This window comes from Homo sapiens, chromosome 14, assembly GCF_000001405.40.
Source record: "Homo sapiens chromosome 14, GRCh38.p14 Primary Assembly".
Lineage (NCBI taxonomy): Eukaryota > Metazoa > Chordata > Mammalia > Primates > Hominidae > Homo > Homo sapiens.
The window spans coordinates 27499754-27523748 of NC_000014.9; the positions used below are offsets into that span (position 1 = coordinate 27499754).

The window sequence follows — 23995 nt, forward strand, 5'->3', positions numbered from 1 at the left end:
ACATTGGGAGTTTTACTATTACAACATTTAATAATCTTCTGTGAAGGTAAAACAAAATTGGAATGTAAAATAAGAATATTAAGGCCTGTTTCACTCAAAAATCTATAGGAGTGACACTTTTGATCTTACCAAATCTTATGTTTTGGTCCCATTGAGGACTATCACAGATTTGAAATGATTTAGAAGCATCCTTGATCAATGAACTATTTACTGTGCACTTAAATATAGTAGCTACCATGGAGAAATGTACCAGAACTTATGGGATTTTTGTTATTGTTTGGTGTCTTCACTTGGGTGCCATCAAAAGTAGTGGCTGAGATGAGGTCTTAGGTGTGAGCTGGTTACTTATGAGGAAAACACAGAAAGTTAGAAAATGGAAATAGGGAAAATGCGATGGAGGGAAATCCAGTATAATGTTGCAATACATTGCATTTTCAAGGTGGCTGATTTACAGTACATGGACTCAATTCAAAAAATATGTTTCTCTTGAGAAACATAAACAGATGTTTATGTAAAAGATAGGAGACCAGATTACTTAGTTAGGGCCCACAAGGTCCTGTGTCTCAAATTATTGAGATTTCTTATAACAGAAATGATATTTCCATCTTGGTTCTTTTATATTACCTAAGAATATATCCTGGAGGTTACTGCATATTTGTATCAAGAAATTCTGCCTCATTTGTTTTTATATTCCTCCACGTATATGTAGCAGAGAATATTTAACAACTCCACTGCTGATGCACCTTTGAATTATTTCCAACGTCTTATGTTTACAAATGAAATCATGATAAATAGTCTTGATCATATGTCACTGTGAATTATTAACAGGTTGTATATGGGATATATTTCATGGTAATGTCAGGTAAAGGCATAAATGTATATGCAGTTTTTCAAGATGATGTCATAGTCCCCTTCACAAAGATTTTGTTATCTTGTATTCTCACCAACCATGTGCAAAAGTGCCTATTTTGGTATAATTTTACCCACAGGGTATGTTGTTAAACTTTTGAGGTTTTTTTTTTCTATTTTTATAGATGAGAAATGGCATCACAATGTTGTTTAAATTTGTATTTTATTCATTATTATTGAAGGAGGAAAATATTTATAATGTATATTGGGATTTTCCATGTGGAATGCTTATATATTGTGCCTGCTTTAAGATGGTTTTTGGTCCTTTATTTTTATTTTTTAACTTTTATTTTAAGTTCAGGGGTACATATGCAGATTTATTATATAGGTAAACTCATGTTACGGGAGTTTGTTGTACAGATTATTTTGTCATATAGGTATTTAGCCTTGTACCCATTAGTTATTTTTCCTGATCCTCTCCCTTATCCAACCCTCCACCCTCTGATAGGCTCCAGTGTTTGTTGTTCCCCTCTATATGTCCATGTGTTCTCATAATTTAGCTCCCAGTTATAATTGAGAACTTGTGATATTTTGTTTTCTGTTCTCGCATTAGTTTGCTAAGGATAATGGCCTCCAGCTCCATCCATGTTCCTGCAACGGACATGATTTCATTATTTTTTACAGCTACATAGTATTCCATTGTGTATGTGCCATATTTTCTTTATCCACTCTACCACTGATGGTCATTTAGGTTGATTCCATGTCTTTTCTATTGTGAATAGTGCTGCAATGAACATACACAAGCATGTGTCATTTTGGTAGAACAATTTGTTTTCTTTTGCATATATACTCAGTAATGAGATTGCTGGATCGAATCATATTTTTGTTTTAATTTCTTTGAGAAATCTCCAAACTGTTTTCCACAGTGAATAAACTAATTTATATTCCCCTCAACAGTGTACAAGCATTCCCTTTTCTCTGCAATCTCACCAACATCTGCTTTTATCTTTTTAAAAATAGCCATTTTGACTGGTATGAGATCATATTTCATAGTGGTTTTAATTTGAATGATCAGTGATGATGAGCTTTGCTTCATATGCTTTTTGGCTCTATGTATGTCTTATTTTGAAAAGTGTCTGTTTTGCTCACTTTTAATGGGGTTTTATTTGTTTTTCCTGCAAAACTGTTTAAATTCCTTATGATGCTGGATATTAGACTTCTGTTAGATGCATAGTTGTTTGAAAAGATTTTCTCCCATTCTGTAGGTTCTCTGTTTACTTTCTTGACAGTTTATTTTGCTGTGCAAAAGTTCTTTAATTAGATCCCATTTGTCGATTTTTGTTTTTGTTGCAATTGCTTTTGGCATCTTTGTCATGAAATATTTGTCCATTCCTATGTCCTGAATGGTATTGCCTAGGTTATCTTCCACGGTTTTTATAGTTTGGGTTTTACATTTAAGTCCTTAACTCATCTTTAGCTTTTTTTTGTATATGATATAAGAAGGAGGTTCAGTTTCATTCTTCTGCATGTGGCTAGCCAGTTAACCCAGCAGTATTTATTAAATAGGGAGTCCTTTCCCATTGCTTGTTTATGTCAGCTTTAGCAGAGATCAGATAGTTGTAAGCGTTGCAGCCTTATTTCTGGGGTCTATGTTCTGTTCCATTGGTCTATGTGTCTGTTTTTGTATCAGTAGTATGTATGCTGTTTTGATTGTTGTAGAACTGTAGTATAGCATGAAGTTGGGTAGCATGATGCTTATAACTTTGTTCTTTTTGCTTAGGATTGCCTTGTCTACTGGGGCTCTTTTTTTGGTTCCATATGAATTTTAAAATAGTTTTTCCTAGTTCTGTGAAGAATGTCAATGACACTATAATAGGAATAGCATTTAATTTATGAATTGTTTTGAGCAGTATGGCCACTTTAATGATATTGATTCTTCCTATCCATAAGCACAGACTGTTTTTCTATTTGTGTCATCTCTGATTTCTTTAAGCAGCGTTTTTCAGTTCTCCTTGTAGAGATTTTTCACCTCCCTCATTAGCTGTATTCCTAGGTGTTTTATTCTTTTTGTGGCAATTGTGAATGGGTTGTGTTCCTGGTTTGGCTCTAAGCTTGGTGTTGTTGGTGTACAGGACACTAGTGATTTTTATATATTAATTTTGTATCCTGAGACTTTGCTAAAGTTGTGTATCAGCTTAAGAAGCTTTGGGCCAAGACTGTGGGGTTTTCCAGATATAGGATAATGTTGTCTGCAAACAGGGTTGGTTTGACTTCCTGTCTTCCTATTTGCATGCCTGTTCCTTCTTTCTCTTGTCTGATTCCTCTAGCCCGGTCTTCTAATACTATGTTGAATAGGAGTAGTGAGAGAGGGCATTCTTTGTCTTGTGCCAGTTTTCAAGAAGAATGCTTTCAGCTTTTGCCTGTTTGGTATGATGTTGGCTACAGGTTTGTTACAGATGGCTATTATTATTTTGAGGTATGTTCCCTCAATACTTAGTGTATTGAGGGTTTTTTATATGAAGGAGCATTGAATCTTACGGAAAGCCTTTTCTGTATCTATTGAGATAATCATGGGGTTTTCGTCTTTAGTTCCATTTATGTGATGAATCACATTTACTGATTTGCATATGTTGAACCAACCTTGCATCCCAGGGATAAAGCCTACTTGATCGTGGTGGATTCACTTTTTGATGTGCTGCTGGATTCAGTTTGCCAGTGATCTTTTGAAGATTTTTGCATGGATGTTCATCAAGGATAATGGACTGAAGTTTTCTTGTTTCTGTTGTGTCTCTGTAAGGCTTTTATATTACGATGATACTGGCCTCAGAGAATAAGCAGTGTATATGAGGAGTTAGAAAGGAGTTCTTTCTCCTCAAGTTTTGGAATAGTTTCTGTAGGAACGATAGTACTTCTTCTTTGCACATCTGGTAGAATTTGGCTGTGAATCTCTCTGGTCCTGGGCTTTTTTTAGTTGGTAGGCTATTTATTACTTATTCAATTTTAGAGTTTATTATTGGTCTGTTCAGAGATTCAATTTATTCCCTGCTCAGTCTCATGAAGCTATATGTGTCAAGGAATTTATCCATTTCTTCTAGATTTTCTAGTTTATGTGCATAGATATGTTCATACTATTCTCTTCTTGTTATTTTCATTTCTGTGGGGTCAGTTGTTACATCTCCTTTCCCCTTTGTCATTTCTACTTGGGTTTATTTGTACCTTCTCTCGTTCCTTTTTTATAAGTCTAGTTAGTGGTCTACTTGATTACTTTTTTCACAAAAACAACTCTTGGATTTGTTGATCTTTTGAATGGCTTTTTGTGTCTCAATCTCCTTCACTTCAGCCCTGATTTTGAATATTTCATGTCTTATGCTAGATTTGGGGTTGGTTTTCTCTTCGTTCCCTAGTTCTTTTATTTGTGATGTTAGGTTATTAAATTGAGATCTTTCTGACCTTTGGATGTGGGCATTTAGTGCTATAAATTTCCCACTTAACAATGCCTTAGCTGTGTCTCACAGATTCTGGTACATTGCATATTTGTTCTCATTAGTTTCAAAGAACTTCTCGATTTCTGCCTTAATTTCATTATTTACCCAAAAATCATTTGGGGATAGGTTATTCAATTTCTAGTAGTCGCCTGGTTTTAAGCAAATTTCTTAGTCTTGATTTCTAATTTGATTATGCTATTGTCCAAGAGACTGGTTGTTATGATTTCAGTTCTTTTGCATTTACTGAGGAGTGTTTTATGCTGGATTATGTGATCTGTTTTAGAGTATGTGTCATGTGATGATGAGAATAATGTATATTCTGTTATATGGGCATGCAGAATTCCATATATGTCTATCAGATCCACTGACCCAATGCTGGGTTCAGGTCCTGAATATCTTTGTCAACTTTTTTGCCTTGATGATTTGTCCAATATTGTCAGTGGGGTGCTGAAGTCTCCCACTATTGTTGTGTGGGAGTCTAAGTTTCTTTGAAGGTCTGTAAGAACTTGCCTTATGAATGTGGGTATTCCTGTCTTGGGTGAATATATATTTAGGATAGTTAGGTCTTCTTGTTGAATTGAATCCTTTACCATTATGTAATGCCCTTCTTTGTCTTCTTTGATCTTTGTTAAAGTCTGTTTCATCTGAAATTAGGATTACAAAGCCTCCTTTTGCTGTTTTCCATTTGCTTGGTAGATTTTTCTTCATCCCTTTATTTTGAGCCTATGGGTGTAATTGCATGTGAGGTGGGTCTCTTGAAGACAGCATAACAATGGGTCTTGGTTCTTTATCTAGCTTGCCACCCTGTGCCTTTTAATTGAGGGTATTTAGCCCATTTACATACAAGATTAGTATTAATATGTGTGGTTTTGATCCTATTATCATGCTGTTACCTGATTATTATGCCGACTTCTTTATGTGGTTGCTTTTTAGTGTCACTGGCCTGTGTACTTAAGTGTGTTTTTGTAGTGGCTCCTGATGGTCTTTCCTTCCCATATTTAGTGCTTCCTTTGGCAACTCTTGAAAATAAGGTCTGGTAATAAAAAATTCCCTCAGTATTTGTTTGTCTGAAAAGGATTTTATTTCTCCTTTGCTTATGAAGTTTAGTTTGGCCAAATATTAAATTATGGTTAGAACTTCTTTTCTTTAATAATGTTGAATATTGACTCCTAATATTTTCTGGTTTATAGGGCTTCTGCTGAGACATCTACTGTTAGCCTGATGGGGCTCCCTTTGTAGGTGAACTGTGCTTTCTCTCTGGCTGTCTTTAACATTTTTTTTCATCCATTTCTACCTTTGAGAATCTTATTTTCATGTGTCTTCCTGTGTAGTATCTTGCAAAATTTATCTCTGTTTTCTGAATTTGAATATTGGCCTGTCTAGGTTGGGGAGGTTCTCATGGATGATATCCTGAAATATGATTGTCAAGTTGCTCACATTCTTCTTATCTATTTCAGAGACACCAATGATTCATAGGTTTGGTCTCCTTACATAATTCCATATTTCTAAGAGATTTTGTTCATTCCTTTTAACTCTTTTTTCTCTATTCTTGTCTGACTGTTTTATTTTAGAAAGCCAGTCTTCAGGCTCTGAGATTCTTTCTTCTGCTTGGTCTATTCTGCTATTGATACTTATGATTACATTATGAAACTCTTGTACTGGGTTTTTCAGATCTATCATATCGGCTAAATCCTTTTCTATACCGGCTATTGTGTCTGTCAGCTTCTGAATAATTTTATTGTCATTCTTAGCTTCCTTGAATTAGGTTTCAATGTATTCTTGCATCTCAATGATCTTCATTTCTATCCATATTTTGAATTATATTTCTGTCATTTCAGCCATATCAGCCCATTCAGAATGCTTGCTGGAGAGGTAATGTGGTCATTTGGAGGAAAGAAGGCATTCTGACTTTTTGAGTTGTCAGGGCTCTTGCACTGGTTCTTTCTCATCTTTGTGGGCTGGTATTCCTTGAATCCATGAAGTTGCTGACCTTTGGGGAGTTTTTTTTCTTTTATCCTATTTTATGACTTTGAGGATTTGATTGTGGTATAAGGTGAATTCAACTGCCTGGTTTCATTTATGAAAGATTTTAGTGGGGCAACACTTAGTTCCCAACTCTTGGAATGCATGCTCTAATTCTGTGGTACTTGTATCAGGCCATGACTTTGTTCTCTGGCTCCTTGACATTAGGAATCCACCCCACTGGGGCAACTAAAGTACTCCCATACCACTGGTCACTACACTTCAATGGGTGGTGTCAGCACCAAAGCAGCATCCATGCTCATTCACACATGCCAGCAGCAGTGGCAGGGGAAGTGTGGTTGGGTGCAGACTCATTTGCTGCAGCAGGGTGCAGGCATTCACTACAGTGGTAGAGGCAACATGGTCCAGTGGGGCAGGAGACCCCTGCTGGCTACTATGCATATGGTCCAGTTGGTGGTGCTGTTGGCATGGGAGGGATGTTCATGAGTGCAAGTGTGTGTGCATTCTTTGTGTGCTGCAGGTGGGGGTGGTCTCTCAGGGGAGGGGAGGGTTCACTGTTCTCTGTGCCTAGTTTCACTCCTGAGGCAGCGTTGGCACATGGGCAAGGTGCTGGCAAGGGTAGGGCTGGCTGCTTCTGTGCCCCTCAAGGCTCTGACTTCAATGGTGATTGGTGGTGGCAGGGGGCAGACTGCATTTCTACCACAGCAGTGGCAGGGCAGGGTGCATGAATATATGTGTGCTGGAGGGGCAAGGAAGGCAAAACTTACTTGGGCACACATGCACTGGCAAAGTGATTTGGGAGGTTGCTGTGGACCTAGGGGAAGCTGCAGTGTGGTGATGGAGTGGGCAGGTTGATGCGCGGTTGGAGGCTCCATCACTGGTGCTTTATACCCGTCAGGCATAGTCTGCCAGCTCAGGAGTTATGATACGGGCCCCCAAGGCACCCAAGGCTTCCCTGCAAGCAGGGGCTGTCAGGGTGGGCCCCCAAGAGAAGCGAGCAGACCAAGTGGTGCTCAGGTCAAATCAGCCCCATCTATGGGCAAGATCACCCTGCAGAATTCTGGTCCAAAAATTCCCCTAGGGCTAAAATGTCCTATGGGGTCAAGTAAAGCCTAGGGGGATGGCTGTCCCTGGCTGTGCTCCAACTATAGGGCTCCAACTCAGCTGGCTTACTACCTCTATTATTTCTATAAGCAGCTCTCCCTGCCAACTTGTGTCTGTGGTGGCTGATGGGTCTCCTCCTGCCAGAGTTCCAGGGGCCTGTGCCAAGAAGGGCTTGCTCCTTACTAGTTCAACTCACTCATTCCCTTGAAGTTGCTGGGGACCAGGAATGAATCCCAATGCATAGTAGCCTCATGCAGGGTTCCCATTGTCCTCCCCCTTCAGCCCAGCTTCTTGTGTCTTTCCTCCATCCACTCTCAGTGCCTTCCTTCTGAAGATCTGTTAGGAGCACGCCAGTCATCTTAGATGGAACATGCAGCTAGGTGTTCCATCTGGCTGCATCTAGTCAGCCATCTTGCCCTGACTCTATTTTTTTGTTGAGACAGAGTCTCACTCTGGCACCCACGCTGGAGTGCAATGGTGCAATCTTGGTTCAACTGCAACCACCACTCCTGGGCTTAAGTGATCCTCCTCCCTCAACTTCCTGAGTAGCCTGGACTTCAGGCATATGCCACCATGCCTGGCTAATTTTAATAGTTTTAGTAGTGGCAGGGTTTCGCCATGTTTCCCAGGCTGTTCTTGGACTCCTCAGCTCAAGCAATCTGCTTTCCTTGGCCCCAAATGCTGGGATTATAGGCACAAGCCACAACACCCAGCTTTTTAATTTTCAGAATTTCCTTGCTTATTAGGCATTGTAAGACTTTGAGATATGTTGTAATTTTTCCCCAGGCTGTCATTTGACTTCTGAATTTGTACACAAATGTGTGTGTGTGTGAGTTTTAAAATTTTGCCATTTACACAGATATTTTCTTCCTCTTTCTCTGAACTTTATATAATCAAATTGCTCAAACTTTTATTTTATTGCTTCTGAATTATGTTATATTTAGAATAATTTTATCCACTCTGAATTTATAATAATCTATTCATAGTTTATTTATTTTAAGACTGAATGGTCTCAATATTTTAAAATGTCTAATTCTGATCCAACTGATTTTATTCCACAGTGTGGTGGTGGGAGAACACATCTATTTTAATTTTTGTTCATTGTGTCTGTTCAGGTGACACAATGACATTTATTAGAAGTTTTGTCTTTTCTGAACTGTTTTACAAGTTTGTTTTATTCCATAAAAGTTCTATAACTTTTTGTGAATATTTTTGATTGCCTACTTTTTGCCGTTGCTTAGTTGACCCATTCATGTACCAATATAACACTTTTAGTTAGAAAGATTTTAGTGTTATTTATAATCTGGCATTATTCTAACCACCACATGCTCTCATAGTTGCGATTTCACTGTCTATTCTTGACAATTTACACTTTCATTCGTATTTTGATGTCAATATAGTTTAATGCCAGGACACAACTTACTTTGTTATAGGCCACTGGCTTCTTTCCCATTCCTTACCCCAAACTACTACCTGAAGCTTTTGCAAATACTACTCCTCTGCATGGAATGCTCTTCCCAGATATTCTGCATGGCTTCTTTCCTCGCCTTACTAATGTCCCTGAGCAACTGTTATCCCTTTAAAGAGTCTATCAGTGAGCTCACGTTTTATGTCACCTATCTAAAATGGCACCACCCTCTGCCCTACTCATCATACTCTATCCCTCAAACAAATTTGTTCTTAAAGGATTATCATTTGTTACGGCCATGGAGATGCATTGCTCAGGTATTCCTTCAATAAATAATTTGATTCAGCTTGCAGGAGTGAAGTTAATGGACAGCCATCAGCTGTACCACCTTCAGTACCAGCCTCAGCTTTTTAGCCAAAATTCAAATTTTTCCTATGCAGACCTCAGCCAACAACTACAAGTCCTGGGAATAATACAACGAAGTCATTTCTGTCCAAGTGGGGCCTCCTCTAATTGACAATCTTCGCTCCAAAGATCCATATTTGGTTGGTAAAATCCTTGTCAGATCTGCATCATAGTCTGAGGTTCTCCCAGCTCAATCTTGCTTTCTCCCTATTTTTTTTGTCACAGAGATCAGATCCGCTGAAAGCTTTTTGTCTAAAAGCTTCCCTGCCCAATTGTGCTACCTGTCTCCTTTATTTTTCACAGGTAGTATCCTCCAAACTCACTGAAATCCTAACAATCTCAGGGACTGCTTTCTGGAGGGCCCAAGTGATAGAGTACTATTTTACATTTTGTTTATTTGCTTACTGTGTCTCTTCACTAGAATACAAACTTAGAGCAAATTAAAAAAAAAAAAAAGTCTTGAGTGCCTAGAATATTGTCTGACATATAGTAAATATTCAACATAATGCATTATATGTCACTTGGTGTACGTACAACCAAGACTGTTTCTAAATATTAAAAAAACTTAATTGAGGAATGTGCAAGTTATTGTCCTGTTTCCCCATTTCTAACTTAATTTACCACACGATTAGAGAATTATTCTGAGAACTCAAGAAACTCTGACTAACTGAGTTGGCCTGGAAAATATAGAAAAGCATAATAATTTATTATTGTCTTAAGCTTTATTAGTCATTCATAAACCTAAATCCTTTGAGCAGGGTAAGCAAAAATTAAGATGGCAATATAATAACTCTCTTTTTTCATTATAGACAGACCTCTGACATCCTCCCTGGTAGGAACAAGATGAGAAAGCAAATAAAGAATATGAGAAGTATTTCACCCTTCTATTGATTTTCTGGTTTCAGCTTCACACTAACTTACCACTGAATGCATATCTAAAAAAGAAGCTGCCTGTGAAAGGATTAGAAATGAATCAAGCAGAAGACAAATGAGAACACATTAGGAGTTATATAAAAATCAATTTTTTAAATGTTAAACATAGATATATCTTCTCTAATTTCAACCACATAATGTGTATTGTCCCACTGACCACAAAATATACATAGCTGAATATTGTGCTTGCCTAAGTCATCATACGTTACACTAAATCCTTCTTCTATTATATAAGAATACTAAAAATATATGCACTGCTAAGATCAAATTATGAAATATATATCAAACATAATTCCTAAGAGTCTGCATTGCTTGTAAACTTAGACTTACTAAGTTTGAAAGCTATAAAAGTTAATGATGTAAAAACCCTTTGCACCAGAATCCTAATTTTAGAGCTTATACCAGGGTTATGCATTTTGTAATATGCAAAATAAAGTTGAATGTAAGAACTCAAATGAATAAATAGAAAATAAAATTATAATAACTTAAATGTTAATAGGATGCTGGTTAAATGAACTATAATGTATCTCTCCAATGTCATACACAAATAGGTGTGTCAATACCTAGGTAGCAGTATTATAATTGTTCCACAAGTTAAAAAATTAAATTGAACAAATGCATGAGCAATATGAAAATATTTGTAAATCAAAGTATGTAATATTCATTTGAAAATGAATATTTGTAAATGAAAATATTTGTAAATAAGTTTACTTTTATTACCTCTTAACTTTTACTTAACACAATGAGATAGGTTCTATTATCATTTCTATTATATGAAGGAAGAAACTGAGGCACAAAGAGGGGTAGAAATATTTGAAAAGTTATTTGAATATGTCTAGCATATGTACATGTTCTCTTTAAGTCAAACAACTAAAAGGAAATAAGTATGGTGTGCTGGATATTCAATATGAGTTATTTTCTATGAGGAAGAAACAATTTTTTCCAAAAATCCTAGGAAGAGATTAAATACATCAATCTTCTAGAAAAATGGTAAGTTATAGACAAAAATTATAAGTTTATCAATTTACATGACTGTTGTGTGAAAAAGTAATATTAAATTAGAATATCTTCAGCTTGCTTAATAATGGTCAGCAGATATTATGACACATCGTTTTCTATTGATGTTTATGCATTCATAATTTCTGTTCTCTCTAAAATATAACTCTGGCCCTCGAGGCAGACACAGAGTTTCTGAATAAAAATAAGCATAACTTCTCCCCTAGGGAAAGAATACTGTGGATCCAAATATATGACAGGAAATCTAGCAGTACATTATAATATATTTTTAAGAGGAATGCAGGATTTGGCTAAACGACTCTCAGTAAAACTTACCCCTAGGATCTCTTTTCTTTCTTTTTCTTACCTCATTGCTCTAGCTAGTATTCCCTGTATTCTGTTGAATAGGAGTGGTAAAAGTGGGTATCCTTGTCTTGTTCCAGTTCTTAGGGGGAATGCTTTCAACTTTCCCCAGTTCAATATGATGCTGGCTGTTGTTTTTTTTCTGAATTTTATTGAATGCTTTTTTTTCTGCATCTATTGTTATGATAATATGGTTTTTGTTTTTAGATCTGTTTATGTGGTGTATCACATTTATTGATTTGTGTATGTTGAACCATCCTTGCATCCCTGGAATAAAACCCACTTGATTGTAGTGTGTTAGCTTTTTAATGTGCTCTTGGATTCAGTTGCTAGTTTTGTTGAGGATCTTTGCATTTATGTTAATCAGTGATATGGGTCTGTTGTTTTCTTATTTTGTCACATCCTTGCCTGACTTTGATACCAGGGTGAGACTAGTTTCATAGAATGAGTTAAGGAGGATTTCCTTCTCAATTATTTGGAACAGTTTCAGTAGGACTGGTACTAGTTTTTCTTTGTATGTATTGTAGAATTTATGTGTTATTCCATCTGGTCCCAGGGCTTTTTTTATTGAGAGATTTTTTATTACTAATGCAAATTAGAAAAGAGGAAGTCAAATTATCTTTGTTCACTGATGATACAATCTTATACCTAGAAAGCCCTAAAAAATCCCTCAAAAAGACTCCTAGATTTGGTAAATGACCACAATAAAGGATACAAAATCAAGGTACAAAAATCAGTAGCATTTTTATATACCAATAACTTTTAAGCTAAGAACCAAATCAATAACTCTATCCCATTTACAACAGCTACAAAAAATAAGTAGCAACACATTTAATCAAGGAGATGAAAGATCTCTACAAGGGGAACTTCAAAACACTGATGAAAAAAATCATAGATGACACAAACAAATGGAAAAAATTACCATGCTCATGGATTGGAAAAACCAATATCATTAAAATGACTGTACTGCCCAAAGCAATCTACAGATTCAATGCAATTTCTATCACATTACCAATGTCATTTTTCACAGAATTAGAAAAAGCAATCCTGAAATTCATATGGAACTAAAAACAGCCCAAACAGCTAAAGCAATTCTAAGCAAAAAGAACAGAGGTGGAGGCATCATATTACCTGACTTCAAGTTACACTACAAGGTCGTTCATGTAGTCCCAGCTGCTTGGTAAGCTAAGGTGGGAGGATCACCTGAGCCCAGGAAGTGGAGGCTGCAGTGAGCCATGATCTTGCCACTGTACTGCATGAGCAGTTACAGAGCAAAACCCTGTCTCAAAACAAAAGAAAACAAAACAAAAATGAAAACAAAAAACTATCAGTTGATTCACCAATCCCACTACCGAGTATCTACCCAAGGAAAAGAAACAATTATATCAAAAAGACAGCTGCACTCCTATGTTTATGGGCAACACTATTCACAATATACACATACCACATATGTGTATATACACCATATATACATACACCATAGATATGTACCATATATATACACACGCACACCATATACCCACCATATATATACCATGTGTAGTTATATATACAGCATATATATACCATGTGTAGGTATATACACAGCATACATATACCATGTGTAGGTATATATACAGCATACATATACCATGTGTAGGTTTATATACGCCATATATATACCATGTGTAGGTATATATGTGCCATATATATACCATGTGTAGGTATATATGTGCCATATATATACCATGTGTAGGTATATATGCGCCATATATATACCATGTGTAGGTATATATGTGCCATATATATACCATGTGTAGGTATATATGCGCCATATATATACCATGTGTAGGTATATATGTGCCATATATATACCATGTGTAGGTATATATGCGCCATATATATACCATGTGTAGGTATATATACAGCATATGTGTATATATATATACACACACACACACACACCATGTATAGGTATATATACACCACATATACCATGTATAGTTATATATACACCCTATATATATCATGTATAGGAGGTATATATACACCATATATAAGCCACATATGTATATATGCACCAAAGAATGCAACTCATCCATTAAAAAGAATGAAATCATGTCTTTTGCAACAACATGGATGGAACTGGAGGTCATTGTCCTGAGTGAAATAACTCAGAAACAGAAACTCAAGTACTATATGCTCTCACTTATAAATGGGAGACTAAAAATGGGTATACATGGACATACAGAGTGAAAGAATAGACATTGGAGACATCAAAAGTTGCCAGTGGGTTGAGGGTTGAAAAATTACCTGTGGGGTACAATATTCATACTCAGGAGATAGTTACATCAAAAATCAGGACCTCACCACTGTACAATATATCCCTGTAACAAAACTGCACTCATATTCTGTAAATCTGTAAACAACAACAGCAAAAAACAAAAACAGTAACTTACCCCAGGAACAATCCTTCCATCCCCTTCCCATCACCTTCTCTTCCTCTTTTTTTCTCTCTCTTTCTCTCTCTCCCTTTCTGTTATTTTTCTCTCTTTCTTATTAATTTTTGGCTTATAGACCGAAGTTTAGCTTTTTTGCCTACCCACTCCAGCAAGGCAAGGAAATTCTGACTTACTGGGCTTACATGTGCCACCAGTCTTGATTTTAAAGAGTTCTCTTTCTTTCCTTTTTGGATCAGATGAACTCACTTCCGATACAGAAGTCCATGGAAAGCTAGAAGCGGTATGAATAAGGAGTTGTTTGAGAACTGTTTTAAGAACATCAAATAGATCCTCTCCAAATCAACATAGCTTCAAATGGCTACATTCTGGAGTTTTTTGAGCCATTTGTATTCATTGTTCATGTTCTACTCTCTTCATATACTGCAGATCTCAATAGCATACTAATAAAAACCATGGATTTCTTCAAATGTTCCAGTTATTGGAAGGGAAAAACAAAATCTTTTGTTTATTATGAGAAAATGAAGTATAAAATATTAAACAAGGTTTTACAGCATTGCTTCAAAAGAAGGCATCAAAAACAAGGAAGGAATCTTACACAGAGAGGAACCTCTCTTTGGTCCAGGGATGCTTTATCCAGATGGTGTGTGAAAACAGTATCTTGAGTCAATAAGAAAACTGAAATGAAACTATGGGCTTTGATTCACTGATTAATTACACTGAAGTCGTGCTTCCAAAGGCTACATTTAACTAAAGAGGGTGAAGTCATCTCCGATGGCGAAGTCATGCACTGGGGCAATGTCATCTGACACAATGCCATCTCTAATGGCAAGGCCCTATGCCAGGTGACATTATCTAAGATGCCGGAGTGAGGTATCATTTCCAAAGGGGACTCAAGTTGACGTAAGTCTTGTTTTTACAGACATATAGTATTATAATGAGGCTAATGCTGGAGCTCCAGCATTAGTTTGTAGGCAGTCCTTCTAATTTGGCCAGTTACTAGGGGCTGTTTGCCTCAGTAATTAATTTGATTGGTGATGTGAAAGATGGCAAGGTCTTTGGATCATAGGGCTTGTATTAGCCAAACCAGGTGGCATAAGGGCCTCAGAATTTGCAGTGTTTGGTTGAAACAGCAGTTTGTTTGGAAGGTTTAGGCTTATGGATTGCAAATCAATAAAAGCACCCTGAACAAGAGTAACAAGATCAATAGTCAACACAATCGTGTGCAGCTGTACTTGGCAGGGTTTTGCTGTCTGATGTTGGTTTTTCTCTGGCATGTAGTATAATCAAGGAAGCATCTGGTTTCATCAGTATGGGATATAGCGTTGATTTCATTATTATTTCCAAATATATATTTTTTCTTTTACTGAGTAGTGTTTTCTATCTTTTTTTTTTTTGTCGTTGTCAAGACTGTCTGTAAAAGTGGCCTGGTAGTAATAATTTTAATTTCCTGGAGGGGTTTAGAGGGAGAGCCTGAATTAATTATCTACTTTTATAACCTAAACATTAAGGAGGATTGATGTGTGGTGGAAGTTTAGAGTCTCAAATAAGATGGACAGCTGCCCGGCCTGTGGGATAAGCCACGGTCAATGGGTCCTAGGAGAATATTCACCCTCAATCTGTCCTCCAGCTCCTGCATGTTAGCGGCAAAATGGGAAATTTATAAAGCTGTCACTTCAGACATTTAGGTACTGGGAAATAGGTTAGGTCACAGAGTTGTGCTCAGGTGGTGGAAACTTGGTGAGGACTCAGAACAGAGTTGCACATTTTAGGATGGAAAGCGATGGCAAAACTAAAACAAACAGCATATAGTGGCAGTGGTCAGAGCTCCAGGACCAGCATGCCAGCAGGCAGCAGTGTCTCCCTAGGCTGCCTCCCCATTTGGTGAACCTAATTGGTAAGCCAAGGGCAGTCTAGTGGCCTGTCTGTCTATCTGGGGCCAAACTACCCTGTTCACCGTGCCACTTGTTTTAACCATATTACTCTGGGTGAGGTATGATAAGGCCAGTCACAGATCTAAAGAGAGAAAGTGGAAAGAGTTTTACAGATATGTTATAGTCACATTTCCCTGGAGAGAAAAAAGCAGGTTTGGCCGGGCTACTTAGAGGACGAACCTGGGTCAGGCACAAGGATGACGGAAAGAGGGGAACTGTGGGCAAGTGCCTTTATGGTGGTTTCTGCTGTAATGAAAGGGTGAGATAGGGTAAGCAGGTTTAAGGTGGGAAGATTTGAATAATTGCAGCCAGGCACTCGTGATTAGGACAGACGTATAGATGCCTGGAGCCTGAAAACTTGATAAGAGTGGTGGTTCGGGGTGTGGACTCAATCAGCTCCTTGAAAAGTAGAACCGAGCATCCCCTACCCAGGGTCTTAAAACTGGATCAATATAGCATTTTTAAAAGCCGTATTAAAGGTTGTCATTTCTAAATTTGACTTTCCTCAACACTTGTCTTGCCCCTCTTTGAAATACTAGATATTTGTAGATCTGACATTTCTCCTAAATTTATGGTTTGTGTTAAATTTATTTTCTTTTTCTGTGACTAAGTGATTTCAACTTGCACATCCAGATCCTTTTCTATTTTAAGTTGTTTATCAATCCCAGATTGAAAAAGCAAACCAGCCCTACTTTAAGTATGGTCCACAGATTGCTAGACTTCACATAGTATATGTTACCAATCCACAATGAAGAAGCATGGAAGTGAGTGTATTTCTCAGAGTGATTTTATGTCTGTTGCAATATATAATAATAAAAAACCTGGCTTGTATTCTGTACATATATTTATTAATTTTACATTTCTATTAATTCATCTTTATAGTATCAAAAATACTGCCCTATCAGATCATTGTGTGGTTTTCTCCTCCTTCACTTATGTTTCTGTGTAACTTTCTTCTCCACTCTGTTTCAGGGTGTTACTTCTACTTTTCAAGACTAATTTTCCATAGATGTCTACTAACGTCTTGTCATCTTTCCTCTTGTGGGATAGTTATTATTTGTTTTTACATATCTTTTATTTCTTAATTGAATTTTTTCTTCTCCCCTGGCTTCTTCCATTCTCATTTAAATTCTCTCTCTCTCACTTCCCCTCCACCCCCCCACTTTCCAACACAAGACTGGTTACCATTCTATTTGTCTGACACTTCCTCTCTGCTTCCTCCCTTCAGACTGGACTGTTGCACATTTGATGGCATTATTAATACAGGGATTAAATAAGGAGAATAATAAGGCAATAGCAAGGAGAACAGTGTAAGGATTAGTTTAAAATAAAAATGTCTGAACTGAGAAAAATAAAAAGCTGCGGTAAAACTAATGATAACAATTGCAGCTATATCTAGAACTTGGCTATAAAGCCCATATAATAATACAAACCTCAGAAATATATATACCAGTCAAGGAAGCATCACTGATACTCATTCATTTATTTCTAAGCTGCTATGATTATTTTCAGGAATATTAGAGAACAGTTAATATTATTCTGAAGAAATAGGCAGTATAACTGTATTAGACTGTTTTCACACTGCTGATAAAGACATATATGAAACTGGGTAATTTATAAAGAAAAAGAGGTTTAATATACTCATAGTTCCACATGGTGGGGGCAGCCTCAAAAGGCACATCTTGCATGGTGGCAGGCAAGAGAGAGAATGAGAGCCAAGTGAAAGGAGTTTCCCGTTATAAAACCATCAGATCTTATGAGACTTATTCACTACCAAGAGAACAGTATGGTGGAAGATGACACCATGATTCAGTTATCTCTCACTGGGTCTCTCCCACAACATGTGGGAATTATGGGAGCTACAATTCAAGATGAAATTTGGGTAGGGACACAGCCAAACTATATCAATAACCATATGTTATTTAATGGAATTTGCATTTTACCACTACTATGTCTAGCACTGGGCCGCTGGATTACCTAATACCTTCTGAAGCCTTCTGCAAAATGTAACTTAAATGCCATCTCTTCCAAGGAAACTCTAGTTGTTATCAATTATTGATTACCTCAGTTTTCTAAAATTTCATATTGTTTAAGACTTTTTAAATACTTTGAAATATACATTTTTAAAAATTTTTGAGAAGCGGGGCCTTACTATGCTGCCCAGGTAGGTCTGGAACTCCTGGCCTCAAGTATTCCTCCTGTCTCAGCCTCCAGATTATCTGGAATTACATGTTTGCACCATTGTACCCAGCATAATATTTTTTTAACTTTATATATAACTGATTAATTTTGTATTGCTTCTACTATAGAAAGCAATTCTGTCATCACTAAGTTTGTCATTGTGGCATAGTTGTATAAATGTATAAAAGACCTGATGCTGTGGTAAGATATTCAGATGATATTTACAAATGTTTAGATAAAAATATTTGAATAGCTGTGTAATAATTACTGAAATATTTAGTTTCATAAAAGGAAGTGATATGAAGTGATTATATTGAAACATAAATGAAATTTTATTAGTAATTAGTGAATATCATAAGCTTTATTGAAGATACACGACAACACATTATTTCCTTGATTTAAAAAAACTTCTCTCCAGGTCTATATCTATTTTTATTTTTTTATTTTTATTTTTTTTTGAGATGGAGCCTTGCCCTGTTCCCCAGGTTGGAGTGCAATGGCGCGATCTTGGCTCACTGCAACCTCCGCCTCCAGGGTTCAAGCGATTCTCCCACCTCAGCCTCCCGAGTAGCTGGGATTACAGACGCCTGCCACCATGGCCACCTAATTTTTTGTGTGTGTGTGTGTTTAGTAGAGATGGGATTTCGCCCTGTTGGCCAGGCTGGTCTCGAACTCCTAACCTCATGATCCACCCACCTCGGCCTCCCAAAGTGCTGGGATTACAGGCGTGAGCCACCGTGCCGGGCCGTCTATGTCTATTTTTAAATTTATATCTACAATTTCTTCTTGTGTTTTTTTCTCCCATTTTCTTGTTTTTGTCTTTAACCACTTTGCCTTTATTTCTACTTTTTATTTCTTTTTTTCTGTAGTCAACATTTTTTCTTTTTTTACATATTTCGTATTGTTCTTTCATCAGCTCATCATTATAGAAAATAAAGAGCCAATGTTTTTCCAAGATAAGTATTATTCTCAATGCAATGTGTCCCTCATTTCTTCACTAAGCACACTCCAACATTTTCATTAAAGTTTCTTATTTTGTGTGTTCCTTTACATATATATTTGGCTTCTGGGCCAGTATTCCTCACAACCTTCAACAAAACCATTTGCTGATCTTGCCTTTGTGCAAGTAATATCTCCATTTTATTATAAATGCATAAAATTCATGGCCTATTCAATAGCCAAATGACACAGATGATATATTACAGTAATATAGTCTCCCTGATATAAGCATGAGTTAAATGACGACTTTTTGATCATCAGGAAAATGCACACTCTTAGAATTTACTCCAGAAATTGCAAAGAATGTCATCTAGATCTCTGCATTTTTGAAAGTAGAAGCTATTAACATTCTTTCTGATAATCATCTAATTTCTATAATTGGATTTGTGGCCTTTGAGGCATGAAGAAGGGATTGCGACAAATATATTTGTTTTAAAAATTCATGCTCTAAAGTTACTATTTGATTTGACTTTTTTCAAGGAATCATGTAATGATTTTCATTGAAACTGATTTTTTAAAAAGAGCTTTGGCTTTAACTACTGGGTTATATAAAATTTAAAGAATGAGAAGAATTTTCTTTTACAGTTTATATTTGCATGTTCTCTTTTACCCAAATTCACAATGCTATTGCTGCAAATTTCATTGTTCATCATTAGGGTTAATACTCTCGGAAAAGCAAGTCATATGTGTCTGCAGAAGGCATCTGGCACATGTTTCTAATACATAATATTCTTTCTGAATGAATAAATTAATACATTTGGAACTATATTATTGACTCTGATAAGCAATCAGAGCCATACTGCATAATTTCAAGACATGTGGCATTGAGTAAATTACCTCAATTTCTAATCCTCAATATATTCTGCTAAATGGGAATGAAAATAGTGCTTAGTTCACAGAGGCATTTTAAAGATTATTTGAGAAACTTTATATTAAAATTATTATCAAAATATCTGACATAAAATGAACTTTCAGTAAATATTAGTTTTTATTTGAAAGCAATTATAGAAATAATATAATATTTTTTCTACATTTTCACATTGGTTAGTACAATAGAAGAAATAATTCCTTAAACATAACTTAAAACATCAAGTAAGTGAGAAAGCTGGGATTCAAACCCACATTTATTTGACCCCAGAGGTAATAGTCATTAACAGCCATTAAAAAATATCAACACATTGGAATGAAATATAACAGACCAAGAAAATAAAATAGAAGACTTTGAGAGAGACAATCAACTATGCAATTATGTTCTTTAAATCCATTTTCCCATTTCCTGTATGAACCAACTATGTCAGCAATAACTTAATGAATCCTTAGAAAACCACGCTGATGTGCTCTAGGTAGCTTTAAAATAATCAGCTAAGAATACCATACATAATAAGAGAATAGATATAGGGATAGTAAACTGCCCACAAAGCAATCACTTCTGAACTATCCAAAGACTGGTAAAGCTGTAAATGATGATTCAAAAGAGAAACACGTAATCTATATTTGTTGCAATTTCTTACTGCTATGAGCTATGGTAAAATTAACTATACTGTGTAAAACTGCCCTTTCCTCAATTTATCAAGTTTAAATTGCTTAAGATCAAGCAAGTTATTCCTAATGATCTCTATATTTCACTTATTTCCCTTTCTTTACTGCAAAGGTGCCCAGGATCAAAAAGAGATACTAATGTTAGAGGAAACAGAAGCAGAGTGAACTGGTTTTATCTCATGCAAGCTTTCATCTAATTTAACCTAGGACCCAAGCCTCTCTTGCGTTAGAACATTGAACCTGGGGCATTGTTACAACATCTCAGAAAAAACAATAGAGAGATAGCTGGATTTTTCTTCCAAGAGAAGCTAAGGTCTTTTTCCAGCTTTGATGATATAGATGAAAGAAGTAGAAGAGAGAGCCCCACAGATGTACTTCAGTCACTTATAGTAATCCTCACAGAGACAAAATATTGTTGTTGTGAATGACTGAAACTATACAACTTTTTAAAATTAAATGCATTCACTCATTACTCTCTATTATAGAAACAAAAGGAGAGGAAGGAAAGAGGGAAGACAGGCTGGCTTCTACTTTGGACAGACTTCTACTTCAGAAGCATGGACTAAATCATAGCAGCCTAATACCATTTGTTAAAAATGGCCAATGGTTCAAAAAGCTACAAACACATTTCAATATTTTATATTTATTTTTGAAATTTTGATTTACAATTTTAAATAATTTCTCAGGAAAATTTGCAAACTACTATAAAGAATTCTGTGTAACCTTCACCCAGATTTCTCAAATGACAGAGTCTACGATAGTAAAATGATAAAAATTAACCAGGAATTTAATGATATCCTACTTGTAAATTATCTGCTTACTCTGTTCGCATTTCACCAACTGCCCTGTTAATGCTACTTTCAGCTCAGAATCCAATCAGAATCATACATTGAATTTAGTTGTCATGTCTCTTATTGTCCAATTTGACATATTTCCTCAATCCTTTCTTCATGACCTTGACAACTTTGAGAATTTCATCTTGTGGGATTTCTCCATTGGGTTTGGCTGATGACTCTTGATTAAATTTAGCTTATCCATTTTTGGTAGGAATAACACAGAAGTAATGTATGCCTTTTCAGTGTGTCATAACAGGAGATACGTGATATGTCACATTATTAGTGATGTAAAATTTCATCCCTTTGTTATGGCTTTATTTGCCAGTTTTCTCTACTAAAAGTTCCTTTTGTCCCTTTACAGTTAATATCTTATGGGGTGTTGTTAATATCATGTATCTATCTTGTTTCTATCATACTTTTGCTTACCAGTTATAGCATTCGATAGTGATTTTTGCCTTCAACAAATATTACTGTGTTGTTTGTCAAATGGCGATTTTCTATTTTCATAATGTCCCCATTTAGTAATTCAAATTCTACTTGCAAGCCTCTAACCTGTTATTGTTTCCTAGTAATGGAGAGAAAGAGACAAAGATAAACAGAGAGAAAGAGAGAGATTCCTACATCTATCTTATTGTGTGTTTCTGTGTAAACAACCATAAACTCATATTGATAACACCAATTGTAATCCAAGACCAGAGGGTTTATTCTAGTCTTCCCGCCTTTTCTGTCTGTAACTCTTTTTTCTCGTATTTATTAAGAAATTAGGATCTTATTATGTATATTACATTTACTTTTGTGCTCAATTCTAGAATATAACGAAAGTAATTTCAGAATTGCTAACTCATATTCTTATGAAAAATTTGTTAACTGGAGTACAATATTTGTGTATAGTACTTTTTGTCTTTCAACTTAGATCATATGACCAAAACACTGTCAACTGTAGTGAGGTTAGTTATTTTGTTCTCTGCAATTTTCAATGTTTTAATATTATTTACTTATAGTACTTATGTTAATTTGTTTCTATTTGTATTGTGTTGGAGTTTCCACCCACATCCAGATTGAATTTATGTATGCATGCATGTATATATTTATATTCTAGTTTTTGTAATGTTGACATGGCTTTAAAAGTAATAAATAAAGAATTATGCTCAGAAAAGTGTCACTCTATTTGTTTATCCTGTCCCCATTCGTCCATTCATTCCACTCCATTCCCACCTACACTTTTAGGTAACATATGAATTTTCATATTTCCATGGCTTTCTTGCATAAAGGTGGCATTGTGGCAGGTAGACTAATGCCTCCCATTAGTGATGCCCAAATCCTAATCCCTGGAAATGGATTACACCGCAGCAAAAGAGACTTTGAAGATGCGATTAGGGTTAAGGAACTTGAAATGGGTTATTATTCTGAATTATCCAGAGGGGTGCAATCAAATCATACAACTGCTTAAAAGCAGAGACCCTTTTCTGGGTGTGGTGAAAGAGACAAGAGAAGAAGAACCAGAAAAACTAAATATTGTTGGCTTTGAAGATGAAGAAGGAGAGTCAGAAGCTATGAAATGTGGCTATCCTCTAGAAGCAGGACAAGGCAAGGAAATGGGTGATCTTCTAGAGCCTCCAGAAGGAGAGCAGCCCTGCCTACACCTTGAGTTTAGCCAACTGAGATTTATATTGGACTTCAGACCTATAGTATTGCCAAATAATAAATTTACATGGCTTAAGCCACTAAGTTTGTGGTAATTTGTTATAGCAGCAATACAAAATTAATACTAATCTTTCTTTTGCATTTAATGTTTTCACTTAAAAATATAATTTGCAAATGATACAATGTCATTTCATAGATTCTTTTTTATTATTTTTAACCCTGTATAGCATTCCATTGTGTGGGCCTAATATGATTTACTCAACAACTTTATGTATGAGTCTTTAGTCTTTTTCAATGTTTTTCAATTATACACAATGCTACAATTAACAACGGTGCATATATATTTCCATCTTATTGAAAGTTAACCTTCAGTACAAATTCCCAGAAAAAATATTGCTGTATCAAAAAAGTGCATCAGTAGTTTTGTTATATTTTGTTAAATTAGCATACAAAAGAGTTGTAATAATTTTTATTCCCAACAATGTGTGAGAGCCTAATTGCTCACAATCTCACAGATGTGTAATATTACTTTTAAAATTGTATTTCTTTCAATGTGTTAAATGAGTAATGGTAACTGTGTTATTTTAGTTTGTGATTATCTTAATTATCAGTGAGTTTTAATGTATCTTTAAATCTTTTACTGTGGTTAATAAAATCAAACAATAAGTTTACCATCTTAACTATTTTTAGTATGTCATTCAATAGTGTTAAACATATTCACATTGCTGTGCAACAAATTCCTAGAAATTTCTCATCTTGCAACACTGAAATTTTATACCCACTAAACACGAATTCTGTCTCCCACATCTCCCTAGCCCTTGACAAAGACCTTTTACTTTCTGTTTCTCTGATTTTGACTACTTTAGACATTTCACATGCGTAGAATGGTAGCATTTGT

General features: G+C 35.9%; 1 long non-coding RNA gene across 2 annotated transcripts in view, besides 1 other annotated feature; it reads right to left on the reverse strand.

Annotated features, from left to right (window-relative positions):
- Positions 1–23995, reverse strand: part of MIR3171HG (MIR3171 host gene) — a 351396-nt gene that overhangs the window by 177928 nt on the left and 149473 nt on the right. The gene's annotated exons all lie outside the window — the stretch shown is intronic.
- Positions 6378–6879: an enhancer, noted in NCBI's record as "H3K4me1 hESC enhancer chr14:27975337-27975838 (GRCh37/hg19 assembly coordinates)". NCBI's record gives its function as "activates a minimal SCP1, AML or CMV promoter by ChIP-STARR-seq in naive H9 embryonic stem cells {active_cell/tissue: H9 hESC(naive)}" and the evidence as "EXISTENCE:reporter gene assay evidence [ECO:0000049][PMID:30033119]".